General features: G+C 48.5%; 6 annotated features.

Annotated features, from left to right (window-relative positions):
• Positions 9,755-10,391: an enhancer, noted in NCBI's record as "OCT4-NANOG-H3K4me1 hESC enhancer chr1:203297814-203298450 (GRCh37/hg19 assembly coordinates)". NCBI's record gives its function as "activates a minimal SCP1, AML or CMV promoter by ChIP-STARR-seq in naive and primed H9 embryonic stem cells {active_cell/tissue: H9 hESC(naive and primed)}" and the evidence as "EXISTENCE:reporter gene assay evidence [ECO:0000049][PMID:30033119]".
• Positions 11,051-11,240: an enhancer, noted in NCBI's record as "active region_2349". NCBI's record gives its function as "activates an Ori minimal core promoter by ATAC-STARR-seq in GM12878 lymphoblastoid cells {active_cell/tissue: GM12878}" and the evidence as "EXISTENCE:reporter gene assay evidence [ECO:0000049][PMID:35858748]".
• Positions 11,441-11,540: an enhancer, noted in NCBI's record as "active region_2348". NCBI's record gives its function as "activates an Ori minimal core promoter by ATAC-STARR-seq in GM12878 lymphoblastoid cells {active_cell/tissue: GM12878}" and the evidence as "EXISTENCE:reporter gene assay evidence [ECO:0000049][PMID:35858748]".
• Positions 12,850-13,219: an enhancer, noted in NCBI's record as "active region_2347". NCBI's record gives its function as "activates an Ori minimal core promoter by ATAC-STARR-seq in GM12878 lymphoblastoid cells {active_cell/tissue: GM12878}" and the evidence as "EXISTENCE:reporter gene assay evidence [ECO:0000049][PMID:35858748]".
• Positions 13,670-13,749: a silencer, noted in NCBI's record as "silent region_1720". NCBI's record gives its function as "represses an Ori minimal core promoter by ATAC-STARR-seq in GM12878 lymphoblastoid cells {active_cell/tissue: GM12878}" and the evidence as "EXISTENCE:reporter gene assay evidence [ECO:0000049][PMID:35858748]".
• Positions 13,777-14,701: an enhancer, noted in NCBI's record as "H3K4me1 hESC enhancer chr1:203293504-203294428 (GRCh37/hg19 assembly coordinates)". NCBI's record gives its function as "activates a minimal SCP1, AML or CMV promoter by ChIP-STARR-seq in primed H9 embryonic stem cells {active_cell/tissue: H9 hESC(primed)}" and the evidence as "EXISTENCE:reporter gene assay evidence [ECO:0000049][PMID:30033119]".

Genomic DNA, 18,776 nt, shown 5'->3' with positions numbered 1-18,776 from the left:
TGCCCTTGGGGGCTTGTAGTCCAGTGCAGTGACAGTCCTTGAACAACGGCAAAAAAATCACACTGAGGATCATGTAGTTAGACTGAGAAAGAGCTGTGACGATGAGCATAGGTCTACACCAGGATTATCAAGGAGCCTGGCCTAGATACTCTGAGATACAGAGTGAGAGCATAGTAATCCAGACGAAGAGATGGAAGGGCAGGTCCAGGCAAAGATAGCAGCATGCATACACACCCTAATGCACAAGGAAGCTTCTGAGGCTCTAGACAGCGAAAATGGCTGCAGCACAGAGAGAAAGGGAGAGAGTTTCAGTTGATCACGCTGATGCAGTAGGCAGGGGTCAAAGGCAGTAGGCTTTGTTCTCTTATTTCAGACCCAAGTACGAAGAAACTTAATTACCACCGTCCCAAACCCCATGTCCCAGGGCCTGCCTTACATGCAGGCTCACAGTTCTGCCTTCTAGCCACTAGTGGGCAGCATCTCATCTCGCACCACCAGCCTTTTCTGAAACCTTTAAATCGCAGCCCACTTAGCCCACTTTTTCCCAACTTCCTTTTTTTTTTTTTTTTTTTTTTTGAGAAGGAATCTCGCTCTGTCGCCCAGGCTGGAGTGCAGTGCCACAATCTCGGCTCACTGCAACCTCCGCCTCCCGGGTTCAAGCGATTCTCCTGTCTCAGCCTCCTGAGTAGCTGGGATTACAGGTGTGCGCCACCACGCCCGGCTAATTTTTATATTTTTAGTAGAGACAGTGTTTCACTATGTTGGTCAGGCTGGTCTCGAACTCCTGACCTCATGATCCGCCCACCTCGACCTCCTAAAGTGCTGGAATTACAGGCGTGATCCACCACTCCCGGCCTTTTTTTTTTTTTTTTTTTTGAAACAGGGTCTCACTCTCACCCAGGCTGGAGTGCAGTGGCGCGATCTCAGGTCATTGCAACCTCCACCTCCTGGGTTCAAACAACCCTCCTGCCTGCCTCAGCCTCCCAAGTAGCTGGGACTGCAGGCATGTACCACCATACCTAACTTTTGGCTTTTTTGTAGAGATGGGGTTTCATCATGTCGCCCAAGCTGGTCTCCGACTCCTGGACATAAGCGATCTGCCCGCCTAGGCCACATGCCTAGGCTTACAAAGACTTTGTAAAGGATTACAAAGGAAACTAATTACATTGAAGTACAGTTACCAAAATATAAAACATATACATTTTTGATATAATAATATATATGTTTCTTTATTAAGTCGATGAATAACAAGATTTAGCAACAGGTCTAGTTAATTATAGTCATTTCAAACTATTGATGCATGTAAATGGCATATCAAACTATTTTAACAACTGTAATGTGATATAAAAATATCTTGGCCGGGCGCGGTGGCTGGCCGGGCGCGGTGGCTCATGCCTGTAATCACAGCACTTTGGGAGGCCGAAGCGGGCGGATCACGAGGTCAGGAAATAGAGAACATCCTGGCTAACACGGTGAAACCCCGTCTCTACTAAAAAATACAAAAAAAATAGCTGGGCGTGGTGGTGGGTGCCTGTAGGCCCAGCTACTCGGGAGGCTGAGGCAGGAGAATGGCGTGAACCCGGGAGGCGGAGCTTGCAGTGAGCGGTCTGCACTCCAGCCTGGGCAACACAGCAAGACTCCGTCTCAAAAAAAAAAAAAAAATCTGTGGGCCGGGTGCTCTGGCTCACACCTGTAATTCCAACACTTTGGGAGGCTCAGGCGGATGGATCACTTGAGGTCAAGAGTTCAAGACCAGCCTGGCCAACATGATAAAACCCTGTCTCCACTAAAAATACAAAGATTAGCTGGACATGGTGGCGCATGCCTGTAGTCCCAGCTACTCAGGAGGCTGAGGCAGGAGAATTGCTTGAACCTGGGAGGCGGAGGCTGCAGTGAGCCAAGATAGAGCCACTGTACTCCAGCCTGGGCAACAGCGAGACTTCATCTCAAAAAATAAAAAATAAATAAAAATATATGTGATTTCAGCTGGTGACAAAGCCTCAGGTACTGCTAATAAGGCTGTGGTTTGTTACCTTCATAATTGAAAGGAATGCTACATTTCTGTTAGATGTATGAAAAACAAAGATAGGATTTCCCATTTCTCTCTAAGTCAAGCCAAGGAAAGACAAGCAGAAACATGGATCATAGAGGGAAGGCAAGAAAAATAGGCAAATCATCGTCTTTTCTCTCTATGAACATAGCTTAATCACTCAACAAATTTTTACTGAATGCAAACCTTGAGCTAGATAATGTGTCAGTAGTTGCTGCATTTAGTATGTGAAAGTTGAATGTAAAGTTCTCAAGGTTCTTGCCATGGCATGTGATAGAAATAATAATAACTAACATTTGTTTTACCTTAACAACTTAAAAGACACCTAGTTCATTCAAGAACCCATGAGGTAGTTTGCTATAAGTGCCAATTAAGGCATAGGGACAAAATGTTCATTTTTTTTTTCCAAGGGTGGGGAATGATGAGGGGCAGGGTAGCCAGGAATGCTGCAGAACAGCCCCAAGCTCCCTCTCACTGGGGGCTTGCAATGCACTTCTTTGTTAGCTTTGTTTGCTAGCTCAGCCATTTATTCTACTAAGCACTCAGATGCAGGGTCCACAGTTGATGTATATCATCAGGAGACTCAGTATCCTGTGTAGACCTCAAACTCTCCCAGAAATTCTTCTGCCTCAGACAGATGGGAGCTAGTAGACATGACTCCTGTTGCCAGCTGAGCCTCTGGGTACCTAGGCTAGAAAGTTGTGCCCAGATGGAGCAAACACATTGCTCAATCTTGTAGCAGCCCAGGTTTCCAGAGTAGGAAACTTTTCTGGAAACTAGGCCATGCTCATATGTGCTGCATGAAATGGCACAATAAACTGGACCTAATCCTTTCCTGGACCGTGTGGTCCAGGGAGCAGAAGAAGGGGGAAATGAGTCCAGAAAGACTGGAATGGACAAAAGGACCAAGCAGACCATGCCCAGCCATGCTGGGCTCCAAAAGAAACTGCAAACACTAAAGATAAATGAGCTGTTTCCATCTATGTGTCCAGATTGTGAGCTACACGTAGGGGAGAAAGAACAGAAGTACATTTGACCCAGTTTAAGAAATAAAAACAGGAAATGGGTCAGAGTTCCAAGAGGCAATAAGAAGACCTACCTACATAAGCAAGAGTATTGGAAATCAGAGGGGTCAGTCTTGAACTTTCTTACAACCCACCAGAAATAGAGAATCGGCAGCTTTGTCCTTGTATTCTACCCCAATAATCCCCACATTTTCTCCACAAGTGTTCATCAGAGCCATGAGTTTTGGCAAAATAGGACTCTGGAGGCAGGCAGGGACAATAACAGAAGCATGCTATCAGTGCCAGGCTTAGCTGGCAGTCCCAGAGGTAGATCTGAGTCAGATAACAAGACCAACAATGGCAGTTTGCACAAGAAGGTGTGCGGAAAGCTATTCCAAGGAAGGAGCCAGAAAACTCAAGTCCCAAAGTAGAAACAGATATATACAATCAAGGTATACACACGGTCAAGGCGTCAGGGGCATAAGCAGTTCCAAGCCCTGTAGCAAGGGTAAGCCAGGAGCAGAGGGGATGTCCTTATGGCAGCAGGGGAGTGGACCCAGAACAGCCCTGAGGGCTTTGGCCCAGAGCAAGTGTCAGGTGGTGTTTCCTGGCCCGTCCTCCCCTAAGGGGACTCTCAGCCCATAGGCACCTTAAAATTATGAAAAGCATCTCTCATTGGCCTCACTTATTATGTTTTCTGAGCCAAAAATTATGACACATTTTAATAAATACCTATGTTTTCATAGGACAATAAAACAGACTTTTTTTTTTTTTTTGAGACAGAGTCTCGCTCTGCAACCTCCGCCTCCTGGGGTCACACCATTCTCTTTCCTCAGCCTCCTGAGTAGCTGGGGCTAGAGGCGCCCGCCACTGCACCCAGCTAATTTTTCGTTTTCGTATTTTTAGTAGGGATGGGGTTTCACCGTGTTAGCCAGGATGGTCTCGATCTCCTAACCTCGTGATCCTCCTGCCTCAGCCTCCCAAAGTGCTGGGATTACAGGCGTGAGCCACTGGGCCCGGCCAAAACAGAATATTTTTAAACATTCATGTCCTAGAAGTCCAAGAAATAATCATCAAGGACCATTTGGGGCCAGACCACCAGCTAGAGGCTGGGTTGTGTCAGTCCCAGTTCTTAGTTTGCAAACAACAGAAACTGAAGTTAGCTGATTTAAACCGAACGAGAATTCATTCGTTTGTTCGTTTAAAGGGGGATGGCATATCAGGTAGTTCTGGGAGGGCTCCAGACCAAGCTTGAGGGCATGCAATCAGAAACAACACCCAAGGACCCAAGTTCATGTCCATAAAGACCCCCCACCCCGCCCTGGCACAGACTCGGGAGCTCCATTTATGAGAACTGCTGCTGTTCCTGCCTATGGAATCTGGAGGCCACTGCCATCACTGCCCTACCGTCATCAGGGTGGGTTCCACAGGGCCTTTGCTTTATCATGTCATTAACTTTCAATTCCAAGTCAAACTGGCAGAACCAAGTCAGGTGCTAGTGCCCTACCAGCAAGTGAGACTGGGAGGTGAGTATCTGGCAATCTCATATTTAATAATAGGAGTCAGGCTCTGTCTCACATAGTGGGGAATTTCCCAAAATAAATAAAGGGCTCAGATGCCGAACAGCCAAAAAATAGAAGATTTTCCTTTCAAGAAATCTGTGGAAGGGGTTTGTGAGGTGTATTCATCTTTTTTTTCCCCCTTGATACAGGGTCTTGTTCTGTTACCCAGTCCGGAGTGCAGTGGTTCAATCGTGGTTCACTGCAGCTTTGACTTCCAGACTCAAGCAATCCTTCCACCTCAGCCTCCCAAGTAGCTAGGACCACGAGTGCCCGCCACCATGCCCAGCTAATTTGGTTTTCAATTTTTGTAGAGACAGGGTCTTGCTATGTTGCCCAGGCTGGTCTTAAGCTCTTGAGCTCAAGCCATCTTCCTGCCTCAGCCCTTCAAAGTGCTGGGATTACAGACGTGAACCACCATGCCTGGCCTTGCATTCATCCATATACCAGCCGCCAAGACAGCTCTGTGGAACTGGGTAAGAGAGACACCAACAGGGGTATAGAATGACCTTATATAAATTAGGACTGCCACATACAAACACCTCCTTCTTAATCCAGAAACATTACATCCTGGTGAAAGCTAACACTGCTTTGAATCTGGTTTCAGATCCACAGAACCCATTTCCATTTGTTCCCTAGGGCTGCCGTAACTAAGTACCCACAAACTGAGTAGCTTAAAACAATTTTTAAGATGTATTTATTTTCTCATAGTTCCAGAGGCCAGAAGTCCCAAGTCAAGGGTTGGAAGAGTCATGCTTCTTCCAAAGGCTCTAGGAATCCTTCCTTGCCTCATTCAGCTTCCGGTGGCTCCTGGTGTGCCTTGGCTTGTGCTAGTATAACTCCAGTCTTCACCTGCCTGTGTCTTCACATGGCCATCTTCTCCCTGTCTCTGTGTCTTCTGCTTCTTATAAAGACACCAGTCATAGCCGGAAGCGGTGGCTCACACCTGTAATCCCAGCACTTTGGGAGACCCAGCTGGGTGGATCACCTGAGGTCAGGAGTTCGAGACCAGCCTGGCCAACATAGTGAAACCCCATCTCTACTAAAAATACAAAATTAGCCAGCTGTCATGGCAGGTGCTTGTAATCCCAGCTACTCGGGAGGCTGAGGCAGGAGAATTGCTTGAACCCAGGAGGTGGAGGTTGCAGTGAGCTGAGATTGCGCCATTGTACTCCAGCCTGGGCAATAAGAGTGAAACTCTGTCTCAAAAACAAAAAAAAAAGACACCAGTCATCAGATTTCAGGCCCGCCCTAATTCATTAGGATCTCATCTTTTAAATTATTTTTATTTTTATTTATTACGGACACGTAATATTTGTACATATTTATCTTACGATCTCATCTTGACCCCTAATTAATTATAACTGCAAAGACCTTGTTTCCAAATAAGTCATATTGTAAGGTTCCGGGTGGACATGGATCCTGGGGGGACACTATTCAATGCACTGTGCCATCTAACAGGGACTTCCATAAGGCAGACAAAAGAGCTTCATCTAGGATGTCAGACAGATGTTTCCAGGGCCTTGGGAATGGAATACCAGCCAAGCACTAAGTCCCAGGCACCTGAAACCCAGGCCTTGGTGTATGATACCCTGACAACAGCAAAAACAGCCCAAGGAAGGCATCGTCTATTCACCAAACTAAACAGCAGAGAAAAAGAAAAGGGGACATCCTGGGTTGGTGTATACAGATGACAACTCACATTTATCCTTTTCTTTTCTTTTCTTTTCTTTTCCTTTTCTTTCTTTTCTTTTCTAATAGAGATGGGGTCTTGCCATGCTGACCAGGCTGGTCTCGAACTCCTGGCCTCAAGCCTTCCTCCCATCTTGACCTCCCAAGGTGCTGGGATTACAGGTGTGAGCCACCACGCCCAGCTCACTTTTATTCTTGAGTCTGTATCTTTCCTTACTTTGTTAATTATGAAACTTTTAAAAACCTACAATGGGCCGGGTGCAGTGGCTCATGCTATAATCCCAGCACTGTGGGAGGCCGAGGCAGGCGGACCATGAGGTCAGGAGTTCCAGACCAGCCTGTCCAGTATGACGAAACCCTGTCTCTGCTAAAAAATACATAAATTAGCCAGGTGTGGTGGAGCCTGCCTGTAGTCCCAGCTACTCAGGAGGCTAAGGCAGGAGAACCGCTTGAACCCCGGAGGCAGAGGTTGCAGTGAGCCAAGAACTCACCACTGCACTCCAGCCTGGGTGACAGAGTGAGACTGTCTCAAAAAAAAAAAAAAATTAATTAATTAAAAACCTACAGTGAAGCACAGAAAGCAATATAACAAAGACCAATGTATTTACCATCTAGTTGTTTACCAGAGTTAACAAATGTTAACATTCTGTCATATTTGCTTTAGGTAAATTTTTAAGAAAAAAAAAGAACATTGGAACTATATTTTAAGTCTCCTTTTACCTCTTCCCATTCATCTCCCTTCCCCTGCAGAGGTAAATGCTCTTCTGAGATTGGTGTATTTTTATACTTTTATTACATATTTATGTAGCCATAGAGAGTTGTTTGTTTCTTTAGATTTTACATGTGGCATCATACATTATGTATCACTCTGGTTTCTTCCCCGAACATTGGGTGTCTAAGATCTATCCATATTGATTCTCATAGTTCCAGTTCATTCATTCTAGCTCCTGTAAATTTACTTCTCTCTTCTCCTTTTGAAGGACGTTTAGATAGTTTTCCAATATTTTACTGTTAAAAACATAATGCAGTGAACATCCTTTCACTTCTCTTTTGGGCTTGCATTTGAGAGCATTTCTAGGATATATACCAGGGCTTCTCAACAGTGGTAGTTTTTGGCATGTGGTGCTGAATAATTCTTTGCTGGTGGAGTGGGGGCTGCTTGTGTATTGTAGGATGTTCAGCAGCATCCCTGGACTCTATCCACTGGATGCCAGTAGCACCCACCCTCTAACTACACCCCAGTGGGAACAATCAGAAATGTCTTCAGAGTTGCCAAATGTTCTCTGGAAGGCAAAATCACCACCAGTTAAGAACCACTGGCATATATGCCAAGAGGGAACTGCTGAGTCATGAAGTATGACCAATTTACCTTTACTCGATACTGTCAAACTGCTCTCCAAAGTGGTTGTACAAATGTTCACTCACACCATCAGTATACCAGGGTCCCCATGTCCCTACATCCTCCCAATGCCAAATATTGCTTCAGACTTCAGAAATTGTGTGACACTGATAAGTGGGACTTGGTATTGCTTTTAATTTTAACTGGCATGTTCCATCTTTTGTTTTCAAAGATGGTAGCAATTACACTGATCTATTCCTTCCCAGAAGTTATACTGAAACTTTGTTGGCAATCCTCGAAAAAAGGAAAGGAGCTGGCCGGGCGCGGTGGCTCACGCCTGTAATCCCAGCACTTTGGGAGGCCAAGGCAGGTGGATTACAAGGTCAGGAGATCAAGACCATCCTGGCCAACATGGTGAAACCCTGTCTCCACTAAAATACAAAAAATTAGCAGGGCATGGTGGCGAGCGCCTGTAGTCCCAGTTACTCAAGAGGCTGAGGCAGGGGAATCACTTGAACCCGGGAGGCGGAGGTTGCAGTGAGCCAAGATCACACTACTGCACTCCAGCCTGGCGACAGAACAAGACTCCGTCTCAAAAAAAAAAAAAAAAAAAAAGGAAAGGAGCAGAGTCTGCTGGCCCAGCACTGGGAAACCGGAACCGGGACCTGGGAGCTGCCTGCTGAGCATGCAGCAACAGAACCGGTCCTCTTGCCAACCCAGTCTAACACCCTCCACCAAGGAGGTGTGCTGTGGGAAAAGATGAGCTCCTTGCACTTTTTTTTTTTTTTGAGACAAGGTCTCACTCTGTTGCCCAGGCTGGAGTGCAGTGGCACAATCATGGCTCAGTGCAGCTCAGCTAGTTTTAAAATTTTTTGGTATAGAAAAGTTTTCCCTATATTGCCCAAGCTGGTCTCGAACTCCTAGGGCTCAAGCAATCTTCTCACTTTAGCCTCCCAAAGTTCTGGGATTACAGATGTGTGCCACTGCACCTGGCTACCTTGCATCTTTCCTTGGTTACCTGGCCTCAGGAGCAAATGCAGAGATTAGAGGGCTACACTAGCACTCTTCTTCCTCTTGTAGAAGGGGGAAGGGAGATGGCCCTTTTATCCCAGGGTGGAAGAGGCAGGGACAACAGCACCCCCAATGTCCTATCCAGGGTCTACCCCAGAGTAGCAGCTGCAGCTACAATGGCTGTATTGGCATTTGTGAACAGTGGCAGTGGCAGGTGCAGGCAGGAAAGCATCAGGAACAGGTACTGTGTGACTGCAGGTGAAGGGCAGCATCAAGGGTGAGAAGGAGAGAAGGCCGCAATGAATGCACTATCATCCCAAGCCCAGGACTCAAGGCATCAGGCCATGGCTCATGAACACTGAAGGCAGCAGCAAGGATGGTTTGTAACACTGCCAAGGACAGAAAGGGAGAGGTAAGGGGCCAGCACTTGTGCTGGTTGGGGTGAGGCACATCCGCTGATCGGCTCCACTGTCACATCACCAGATGATCCTTTTATTGCAGGACAGAACTGGATAGGTTGAGGAACCATTGTTATAAACCACAGTAGGGCCACACATCAATGTTTCATGTGTTAGCTGAGCAACATGGTTAGATTGTAAATTCTTTAAAGGTAGGGATCATATCATATGATTCCTGCTAATACTCCCCAAGAGTTAACACAGAGCTGCATTCCTAAGTTTTTAATGACACTTGTGGAATCATATTCTTTGGGGCCCAATAAAAAGAGTGGCATGAAATGGATTTAATAGCCCATTACACACCCACCCCTACCACACACACACCTTTTTTTTTTTTTTTTTTTTTTTTTTTGAGTTGGAGTCTCGCTCTGTCACCCAGGCTGGAGTGCAGTGGCGCGATCTTGGCTGACTGCAAGATCCGCCTCCTGGGTTCACGCCATTCTCCTGCCTCAGCCTCCCGAGTAGCTGGGACTACAGGCGCACGCTGCCACGCCCAGCCAATTTTTTGTATTTTTAGTAGAAACGGGGTTTCACCGTGTTAGCCAGGATGGTCTCGATCTCCTGACCTCGTGATCTGCCCGCCTCGGCCCCCAAAGTGCTGGGATTACGGGCGTGAGCCACCGTGCCCGGCGCCACACCTTTTTTTTAACCCAGAAAATATAAAGTGCTTTCACTTCTATGACATTTCTTTCCCTGACACATCTATGCGGTAAGGATACAGGTATGATACAGCCTACTTTACAAGACAGGGTAACTGGGACCTAGCACGTTTAATTGACTTGTCTCCCTAAAGGCACAGACTCAAGACTGAACCCCAGAACCCCAGTCTTACTGGCTCCCCATTGAACTGTATCCCATCTTTGTGTGTTCCTTACCCTCTTCCCTGACCTCGCCGTCAGGCGTCACTGAAATGCCCCAGACGCATCACTGCTTTTGTTCTTAACAATGTGAAACATCAACCAAGCCCAGCAGGTGATAGGACTGGACAGCCGCCAGGGGTCTGTGAGCACTGAACAACCAGTCTCCACGTCCACTGAAGATAATGTATGATGTATCAGCATGTGGTATGTTTGGGGCAGGCAAGAGAATGCAGAAGGGGTGAGTCTCCAGGTGACACGAAAAGACTTCAGGAAAGGGATTTGGGGAAAACAAACAAGCCCATCTAAGTGTCAATGTGCATATATGGAGAGAACATTTATGGAATGTTCTACCTAACAAAAGGAGAAAGTTAAATCCTATTAAAAAGGGAGTTGTAAGTCCTTGCTTGCTGCTGTTCTAAAAATTTTTGAGAGGTGGAAATGTGAAGAAAAGACCTTGAAGAAAAGAGAAATCTAGTCTTGCCAAGATAATTCTCCCTTAGTAAAAATCTAGGAGCCAAACGCAGGACCCATCCCAGGGCCTTGAAACCATACCAAGTTTTATTCTGAGTCTTAAATTACTTTACTCATAGGACTTTAAATGTCCTTAGGATCTAGTGCTATCCCCAGCACCTAAACCAAGAATTGTGAGCTGAGGTAAAATGTGAGAAAGAAATGCTCATTCCTTTGTTATTAATACCTAAAATAATATCACCATTTATTAGGCAATTATGTGCCAGGCATTTTGTCACAATAATGAGAGGAGATAGTGCCATTATTATCATTAGTATTTTTCATAGGAGAAAATTGAGGCTCAGAGAGGTTAAGTAACTGCTCAAAGTAACACAGCCAGAAAGTGGCAGAGGCTAGAGTCGAATCGTGGTCACCTGTCTCTTCAGTCTAAATCTCAATGCTACTGTGCCGAATTCTTTGAGTTTGTGGGTGTGTGTGTGCTTCTGTGTCCTGGGGCGGGGGAACAACGTCACTCGAGATACATTAAACGACGTTTACAATGTACGTGCTGGGGAACTGTATGCTGTCTTAGAGGCTGAGGCTGGCGCCCGTGGCCACAGTACAATGGAGGGGGTGGTTAATCTGGTTTTAGAGGATGGCGGATTGGCGATGGCAGACAGAGCTCAAGTAACTGCGCCCATAGGAGGGCGCAAGCACGCAGAGGCACGAGAAGAAAAGGAAGAGGGCCTGAGCCCGAACTTGGGGAAATCAATGCCCAAAGCCTGAGGGACTCTGGAGGGAGGACGGGAAAGGGCCAGAGGTTCACCCCCGAACCTCCAGTTGCTCAAGAAGCGCCGGGCGGGGCCCTGCAGTCGCTCAAGCTGCGAGGAGGACCTGAGAAGCGGGGACGCCTTCGAGGTTTTAGGGACCTGAGCTCCGGCGGCAGGTGGCGAAAAGGCCCAAGCCCAACGGCCGCCCCGCCTCGCCCCTTCCCCGCCTCCCCCTTCTCTGAAAGGCCCCATTCTCCACAGCCGCCGGGGGAGCAACTCCGTTGGGAAGCCACCTAGCGCCCGGCCCCACCTTTCTTTTTTTCTTTTTTTTTTTTTCTTAATAGTTCTCGGCCAAACGCCGCGGCGTCAGGGCGGGCTTGGATTGGCCCGCGCCGCCCCCGAGCCAGCCAATCAGCGGCTTGTTGCCAAGGTGGGGCTTCCCCAGAGCGGGCGGAGGCTGCGGCGCGGCTGCTGTTTCCCAGCAAAGAAAGCAGACTTGTGAGGGCGTCTGGTGGCACTTTCAGGTCCCAGTCAGCTGCTCGTGGGGATTGAGGGACGTGGGTGGGTGGCTGGGGGGTGAGCGGCCGAGGGCCCATATCCGGGACGGAGGGAGGGTCACCTGCCTGCCTTTGCACGCCCAGCCGGCGCTGTCTCCCTCCTCCCCGAAGCTTCCTTGCTGGACAGGTCTGACTCCAGGCAGCCCGTGTGGGATCGCCTTGGCCGCAACGGTCCCGGGTGGAAAGGCATCACCGTTGTCCCCTTACCCTCACCACCAAGCATATTGAGGAAGAGGGACTTGCAAACGTGAGAAGGTGCAAAAATCATCCACCTAACTTCTGAGGCAGAACAGACTATGAACTGAAGACAGTGCTGTATTGCAGTGTGTGCCCCAAAAGGGACCAGCTGACCTTGCAGGCCCGGAGGTGCTAATGAGAGAATGAAAAGGGCCCCGGGAAGCAGGAGACGTAAATCGCACACCTTCTCCCCATGTAACAATAATGCCCAAACCGCCACAAAGCAAGGGTCTGGACGATAGGGTCTCACTTTTCCAACCATAGCTCAGTTACACAAGGGAGAAAGGGCAGAGGCAGATCTACCCCTCACACATTTTCTACCCCTCACACATTTTCCTTTGGCCTCATACTCAATTCCCCAGTCCTGTTTATCTCAGTTTCCATTGTGTAACCTAGATGAATGCCTCCTGTTCTAGTAATGGCCATAATAATATTTAATCACATTTATTGTGTACTTTCTAAGAGCTGGGTACCCTTCTGAGCACCTCACAAAAATCAATCCTCCCAACAATACCGACTAGGAACTACTTTTATCTTATTTTAAGGATGAAAAAACAGGCAGTGAGAAGTTAGGTAACTTGCCTGTTGTCACAGAGCTAGCTGTACCTAGGTAGTCTGTTTCCACCTGGGAAACCCATCTGACTTTGCTCTAGAAGACGGGGACTTTCCTGCTATATTGCCAAAGGAAAAGGCTAGAATGGTTGCCTTTTGAAACACCACATGCCCCCCAAGAGCAGGACTTCAGTTAAGGTCCTTAGGACTCCCAAGACTTCTCCAGACTCCCAAGAGATTCCCCGTGTGGCTTCACCATATAAAATGAAAACAGATAAAATGCTGAATTTTATAGGTGAATTTCACCACTATGCAAAAAAAAAAAAATGGAGCCAAGAAAATCCTCCCATCAGTACAGTCCTGATCCCCTGGCCCAGCCTGGAGCATGCCTCAGAGCCGGAGAAAAGTGAAGTATTCATCCCCCAAACGTCACAGCTTTGTTGTATATTTTCAAAATGGATCTCGCTTAGGGCAGACACCAACTTTGAAGATGGGGAATGGTGGGAAGGGGTACAGGAAGAAGAGGCTGAGAACCTGCCCCCAGCTGGTGTTGGGAAAGGCTATTTTCAGGGCGCTGCTTGGGTCGGGAGGGCAGTCCGCGGTTTCACTTCCCATTCCGCCATGTTCTTACTCTCTGAGCCCTGCCTCTGGTGTAGTCTCCCCTACCTCCCCCACCCCCATCCTCCACCATCCCCGCTGCACCCTGCACCCGTTTCCCAGCTCCTGGGGCACACCATCTGCCTGTCCTCCCCCTTCCCAAGGGACTTAGCTCATCCAATTGAGACCTTTAAATAATTAAATGCCCCAAAGCCTCCCCACACTGATCCCCAGCCCCTGGCTGGGGTGTTTATTCAAAGACCAGAAGCTGGACTGGAGGGCTGCCAACCCCACCGCCTCTATTCAGTTCCTTTCTTTTCCTGCTCAGCTGCTGGGCGGTGGCTATTGGGTCTTTTCTCCGGCTTTGGCCCCTCGCCTGCCAGGCCCAGTGCACCGAAAAAACAAACAAAAAGAGCTGTAAGGAGGAAGCAGGACTTTGGATGTCAGCTCTTCCAGGCTAGGGGTGGGGAGGGAGGAGGACACCAGATCCACCTTACACTGGGAAAGGGACAGGGATGAGGGTGGAGAGAGAGAACCCAGAGGTTTGGCCTGCTCCTCATCCCAGTGCAGGAGCCAGAGCATCTCCCTCCGACTCTGGGGAGCTGTGTGACCAAAGGAGGCGGGGAGAGGTTGTGAAGTGGGAAGGGGGTGTCAATCACTTGAGTGGTTTGGGGTTTGGGCAGCATCCTCATGCAAATTAACCTGGTGAGTCACTGAAAGTTTGGTCCAGACACAAAGAAGCTGCTTCTCTCACCCACGGCCTCCCTCCACTACAGCAGCCCCCCTCCCCAGCCAACCAAACAAAAGGCCCAAGCCCAGCGGTGCATGAAGGAGTGAATGGGCGAGACCTTCCCTGGTGACATCCCACCAGACAGATGGCAACAGTTGCCCCACACCAGTTGCAAGCCTCCTTTTCATCCTTCTCCCAAGTCATAAAGGAGAAAGACCCCAGTCCCTCTACAGCCCATCGGCTCCTCAGGGCCAACCCGAAGGCAGAATGGGGGCTAGAGGGTGGGCTGCCAGGGAGCGGGAGGTGAGAGGGGAACTGACACTGCATGTTTGGCTGGAAAACAAAAGTTTGTTGAAAGCACGGGTACTGAGGCCAGCCTGCCCATCTGTCCTCCTTTGGGGAAGCTCTGCCCCCACGCTCCTCCTGGGCTTCTGACCAGCTCTGCGCAGAGCCAGGGCCCCTGGGAAGGAAGACTTCAGTTTGGGGCAGCAGCACTAAGCTGCAGTACTTTGGGACTTTGTACTTTGAGGCTTTCATCAGGCAAACATCCCTTGACCCGCATCGTTTTGCCTCTTCAGAAATGGGTTTAAATGGAAAATCCAAGGCCTCTGGGACAGGTGGGGAATAGTGGGATCTGGGTGCTCTGCAGTTAAATGATAAAGTTTGAGTTGTTCCAGAATGGGATTCTGTTAAAATCATTCCCACATTCCCGCAAACATTAAGAAGCTAGGAGTGGGCCAGGAGTCAGAAAACTCAGCTTCCAGTCTCAGCTCACTGTCTGCGTGTTGTGTAATTCTGGGCAAGTCATCTGGGTTGTTCAAGTTCTAGTTTCCTCTCTGTAAATTGGGGAGTTAAAAACCCCCACCGCCCTACCTCCTAGTGTGGTAGAGAGCAAGCTGATGCTCGGTCCAACACCAGGTAAACAGAAGAAGCTGCGCAAGGCTCTCCTCTCAAGTTTCCCACACCCACATCTCCCAGGAAGTGGAGTGGGCACAGCACTTTAAACGTAGTTCAAAGTACTTCACATCTATTATTTCGTGAGGCAACTGAGAGTAGAAAGGTCTAAGGCTGTGCAGAGATCTTTTTTTAGAGAGTAGGGGTGGAGGCTGAGCTAAGGCTAGTGCCCTCCCCGCAACCTCCTGAATCTCAGATTTTTGTCTCCCTTCTCCCTCTGCCTTCCATCAATCTAGCCTGACTTAGGAGGATTCAAGGGGAACTCTGGGTTAAGGTGCTAAGAGTTTATTTATTGAGGTCAATACATTCAGAATAAAAGGGAATCATCCCTATGTCTTAATCAAAGGTTTAGTAAAGTTACGATTCTGAGGCCACAGGCATGCGTTCTTCTAGGCTAAATGCCACTGCAGAGGGCTGAGCTGGTGATGCTGGTGTCAGGGGAGGATGGGAAGCACAGGGGAGGAAAGTGGCTACCCAGAGAACACAGGGAACAGTACTTGACGCTCTCCTAACTGGCCTCATGCCCTGCTCTTTTGCCCACCCACCTGACCTCCTGTTGTTTGTGTTGGCCAAAGTGCCAGTGCTCAGAAGTGGTTGAAATGTCTTCTCCTGGGCATAAATAAGGTAGTAAAGACATGTTAGCTGCAAAGGCATTTCTCAAAACATCTGTCTTTCCCAATCCTTGCCCAGGCTAACCTCACCCATCTCTGATCATTTCCATTTGTGTACCTAACATCCCAGCACTGATGTAGATCATGCTGTGTAATTCCATTAGTTTGCATTCAATCCCATGTGGTCAGTGTTTTAGGTACTTTGATATATAATTTTCCTGTCACCTCCTTTGGACTGGCAACACACTGTGGACCCATCCCTGTTTTTTCTCCTCTGCTGTCCTCTCTCCCTGTGCTTCTCGAAAGGACCTGTCTCTGCCCATAAGAGGGCACTTACTGCAGGACACTCATTACTTGCCTGCCAGACTGATGGCTGAAAACTCAAAACCATAAAAATGGGTTTCAAGCTGCCAGCTGCAGCTGGCCCCATGCTAGACCCAGATAACAACCTCTGGACTCCAAGGCCAGCATGGATCCACATCAATCCCTCACATTCAAATAGCACCATAATCTCAACAAGTGCTTTTACATCCTGGCCCACCCCCCTGGATATCTTTGAATTTCATCCTAGGAAACAGTCAGTGCTCCATTTTCTTTCCCCCAGGGAGTTGTCACAGGAGAAGCCTATTGGTCAAGCAGTAATTATGACAGAGATTATTTTCCTTTTGTGAAAACAAGAGAAGCCACTGAGACCTAAGCCTCCACCCTGAGCAGGCTCCAGTAAGGAAGTGGGTCACAATGAACACAAGGAGTTCCTGTGTTTTGTACCAGGGCTGGGAAGTCAGCAGCTGAAATTCCTGATTAGGGTGAAGCAACCCATCTGGCTGGCCAGTCTGTATTGAACTGGGATTTCTCCAATTGGAGTGAGACAAAGGGTAAAAGAGAGGCTTCCCTAAAGCATCTAGACTATCTAGTCTCCTCAGTCCCTCTTGCTTCAGCTTCATGTCCAGGTACTGTGTTAGATGCAGATGCTGTGTGAATGTTGGGCAACATCAGAGGTGATCTCTAGGACCTTATATTTAAATTGAAATATGACATATACACAAAAAAGAAACCCATGGAAGACACACAGTGGGAGGGAGCAGTGGCTTCTTGCTGTAAGAACTCAGCAGGTTTTTAAAACATCACCTAACATTAGGATGAATGGCAATGATTTCACAGAGGAGAGGTGATCTGAGCTTGGGCATAAGAGATGTGTAAGACTGGGATGTCAGACTGCTTATCTTATGTAGGCTATCTGCAAAGTGAACTGTGGCTTTGTGTAAAAGTTCCTAGAATCCAGAAGACAAGAGCACTAAGCGTGACAAGAAGAAACATAAGAAACCCTGGGTTGTTTGCTATAATTTTTCTTGTTTATTCAGTCAGTCTTGGATTCAAGCCTGACTGCCAGTTACTAGCACTGTGCCCATAGGTAATTTTGCTTAACCTTCTGAGCCTGTTTCTTCCTCTACAGTCTAAGGGTAATAATGTCAATGCTATAGAACTGCTCTGAGGAGGCCAGGCATGGTGGTTCAAGCCTGTAATCCCAGCACTTTGGGAGGCCGAGGCAGGTGGATAGCGTGAACTCAGGAGTTTAAGACCAGCCTGGGCAACATGGTAAAATCCTGTCTCTATAAAGAATATGAAGATTAGCTGGGTGTGGTGGTGCACGCCTGTAGTCCCAGCTACTCCGGGGGCTGAGGCAAGAGGATTGCTTGAACCCGGGAATTTGAGGGTGCAGTGAGCCAAGATGGTGCCACTGTACTCCAGCTTGGGTGACAGAGTGAGACCTTGTCAAGGAAAGAGAAAAGAGAGGAGAGGAGAGGAGAGGGGAGGAGGGAAGGGAGGGGAGAGGAGGGGAGAAGTGGGAGAAGAGGGGAGAAGAAGAGGGGAAGGGAGGAGAGAGGAGGGGAGGGAAGGGGATGAGGGAGGGAAGGAAAGAAGGGAAGGATCACACATACATAGACAAGTGTATCATTTCAACTGGATTGGAAAAACTGCAACAAACCAAAAATACTGTCCTGCCTTCTTGGGAAGAGTGGCCAGGGGGAAACCCGTGACAGTGTCTCTGCACCAAGCTGGCTGGATTTGGGGACCTTGGTGAAGGTGGGGAATGTGTAGCTGTTTCAGGTCTCAGGTAAGGAAATGGAGGCTTTGCCAAGGTCTCGCTCTCCACTCCTGGCCTTTGCCTGGGGAGGCAGTGCCATCCATTTCATGGCAGGTAGACAGTGGAGGTAGACCCAGTACTACCTGGGCTTCTCATGTAGAGATTAGAGTCCAGGGAGGCCTGAGGTCATTGGGGTGACCTGACCCCACCCTTTCCCCCCTGGAAAGAATGGAGGTTGGGAGCTTATGAAATGACCTCTTCCAGCCTGACCGAACAGAAGTGTCTGCCCTGCTCAGGAGGCCTTCTTCCTCCCTCGTCCCCTAACTGTTTACATGCTCTCAGAAAGGCAGGTGTCAGGAGGCAGCTGCTGCTTGTGGTTAGCTCCCCCTAGATACAGGAGCGCCAGCCTTCCCCACACCCACTGCCATTGGCTAACAGGAAACCAAAACAGACTCCCTCTCTCCACCCTCAGCCACCCCAGCCAGTAAATAGAGAGTACAGGAAACACCTGGAGGAGCAGGCAGCTGGCAAGGGAACATTCTGCCCACGAAGAAAGGGTTTGCAAGGGAGTAGCTAGGCTGGGGAGGAGCTGGGGGAGGGGGGTCAGGGGCTTAATTGCACTTCTCATGGCACCCACCAGCTGCTGGGAACTAACAGCTGAGTTGCTGAAATGCACCATCCTCCTCTCAGTCCCCCACTAACACATACACAGTAAAGGGATCATCCCTGTCTAGCACCAGCTTGCCTTGAGTGAGAACAAGAGCAATCATACAGGAAAGACTCCTCAGAAGGCTTTGCCTCCTTAGCCTCAGCCAGAGCTTCTGAACCTCTGTGGACCATGTAAAAGTAAACCCGTGGTTCAGGCATGAAGACTGAATCATCAGTCTTCATCAGCCCACGTGATGTAAAAGCCCGCCCATGTAATGTGAAAGCTCATTCCAAAGATAAGTCTTCAGTTATTTCCAAACTTACCTAGATCTCCATCTGTGTCTGCCTATTTACTGCTTATGATTTCAAGTTGTTGAGGTTCAGGGTAGAACTGACTTCACCAACATCAAATGAAGCCCTGCCATCAGCATCCAGCATCCACCCAAGAACGTGTTCACTGGTGTGTAGACTTTGTGCCGGGAACCATGTATGCAGGCTGGCTTAGCTTACAGAGCTCCTTCACTCCCTCTTAGGAGACTCCCAAATAGAGCACTTTTCCTTTTAGGTTTAGAGTGGGAGGATGGAGGGGTGGTGAGGAGGGGACACTTGCC

This window comes from Homo sapiens, chromosome 1, assembly GCF_000001405.40.
Source record: "Homo sapiens chromosome 1, GRCh38.p14 Primary Assembly".
Classification (NCBI taxonomy): domain Eukaryota; kingdom Metazoa; phylum Chordata; class Mammalia; order Primates; family Hominidae; genus Homo; species Homo sapiens.
This window is presented reverse-complemented; position numbering and strand designations above follow the sequence as displayed.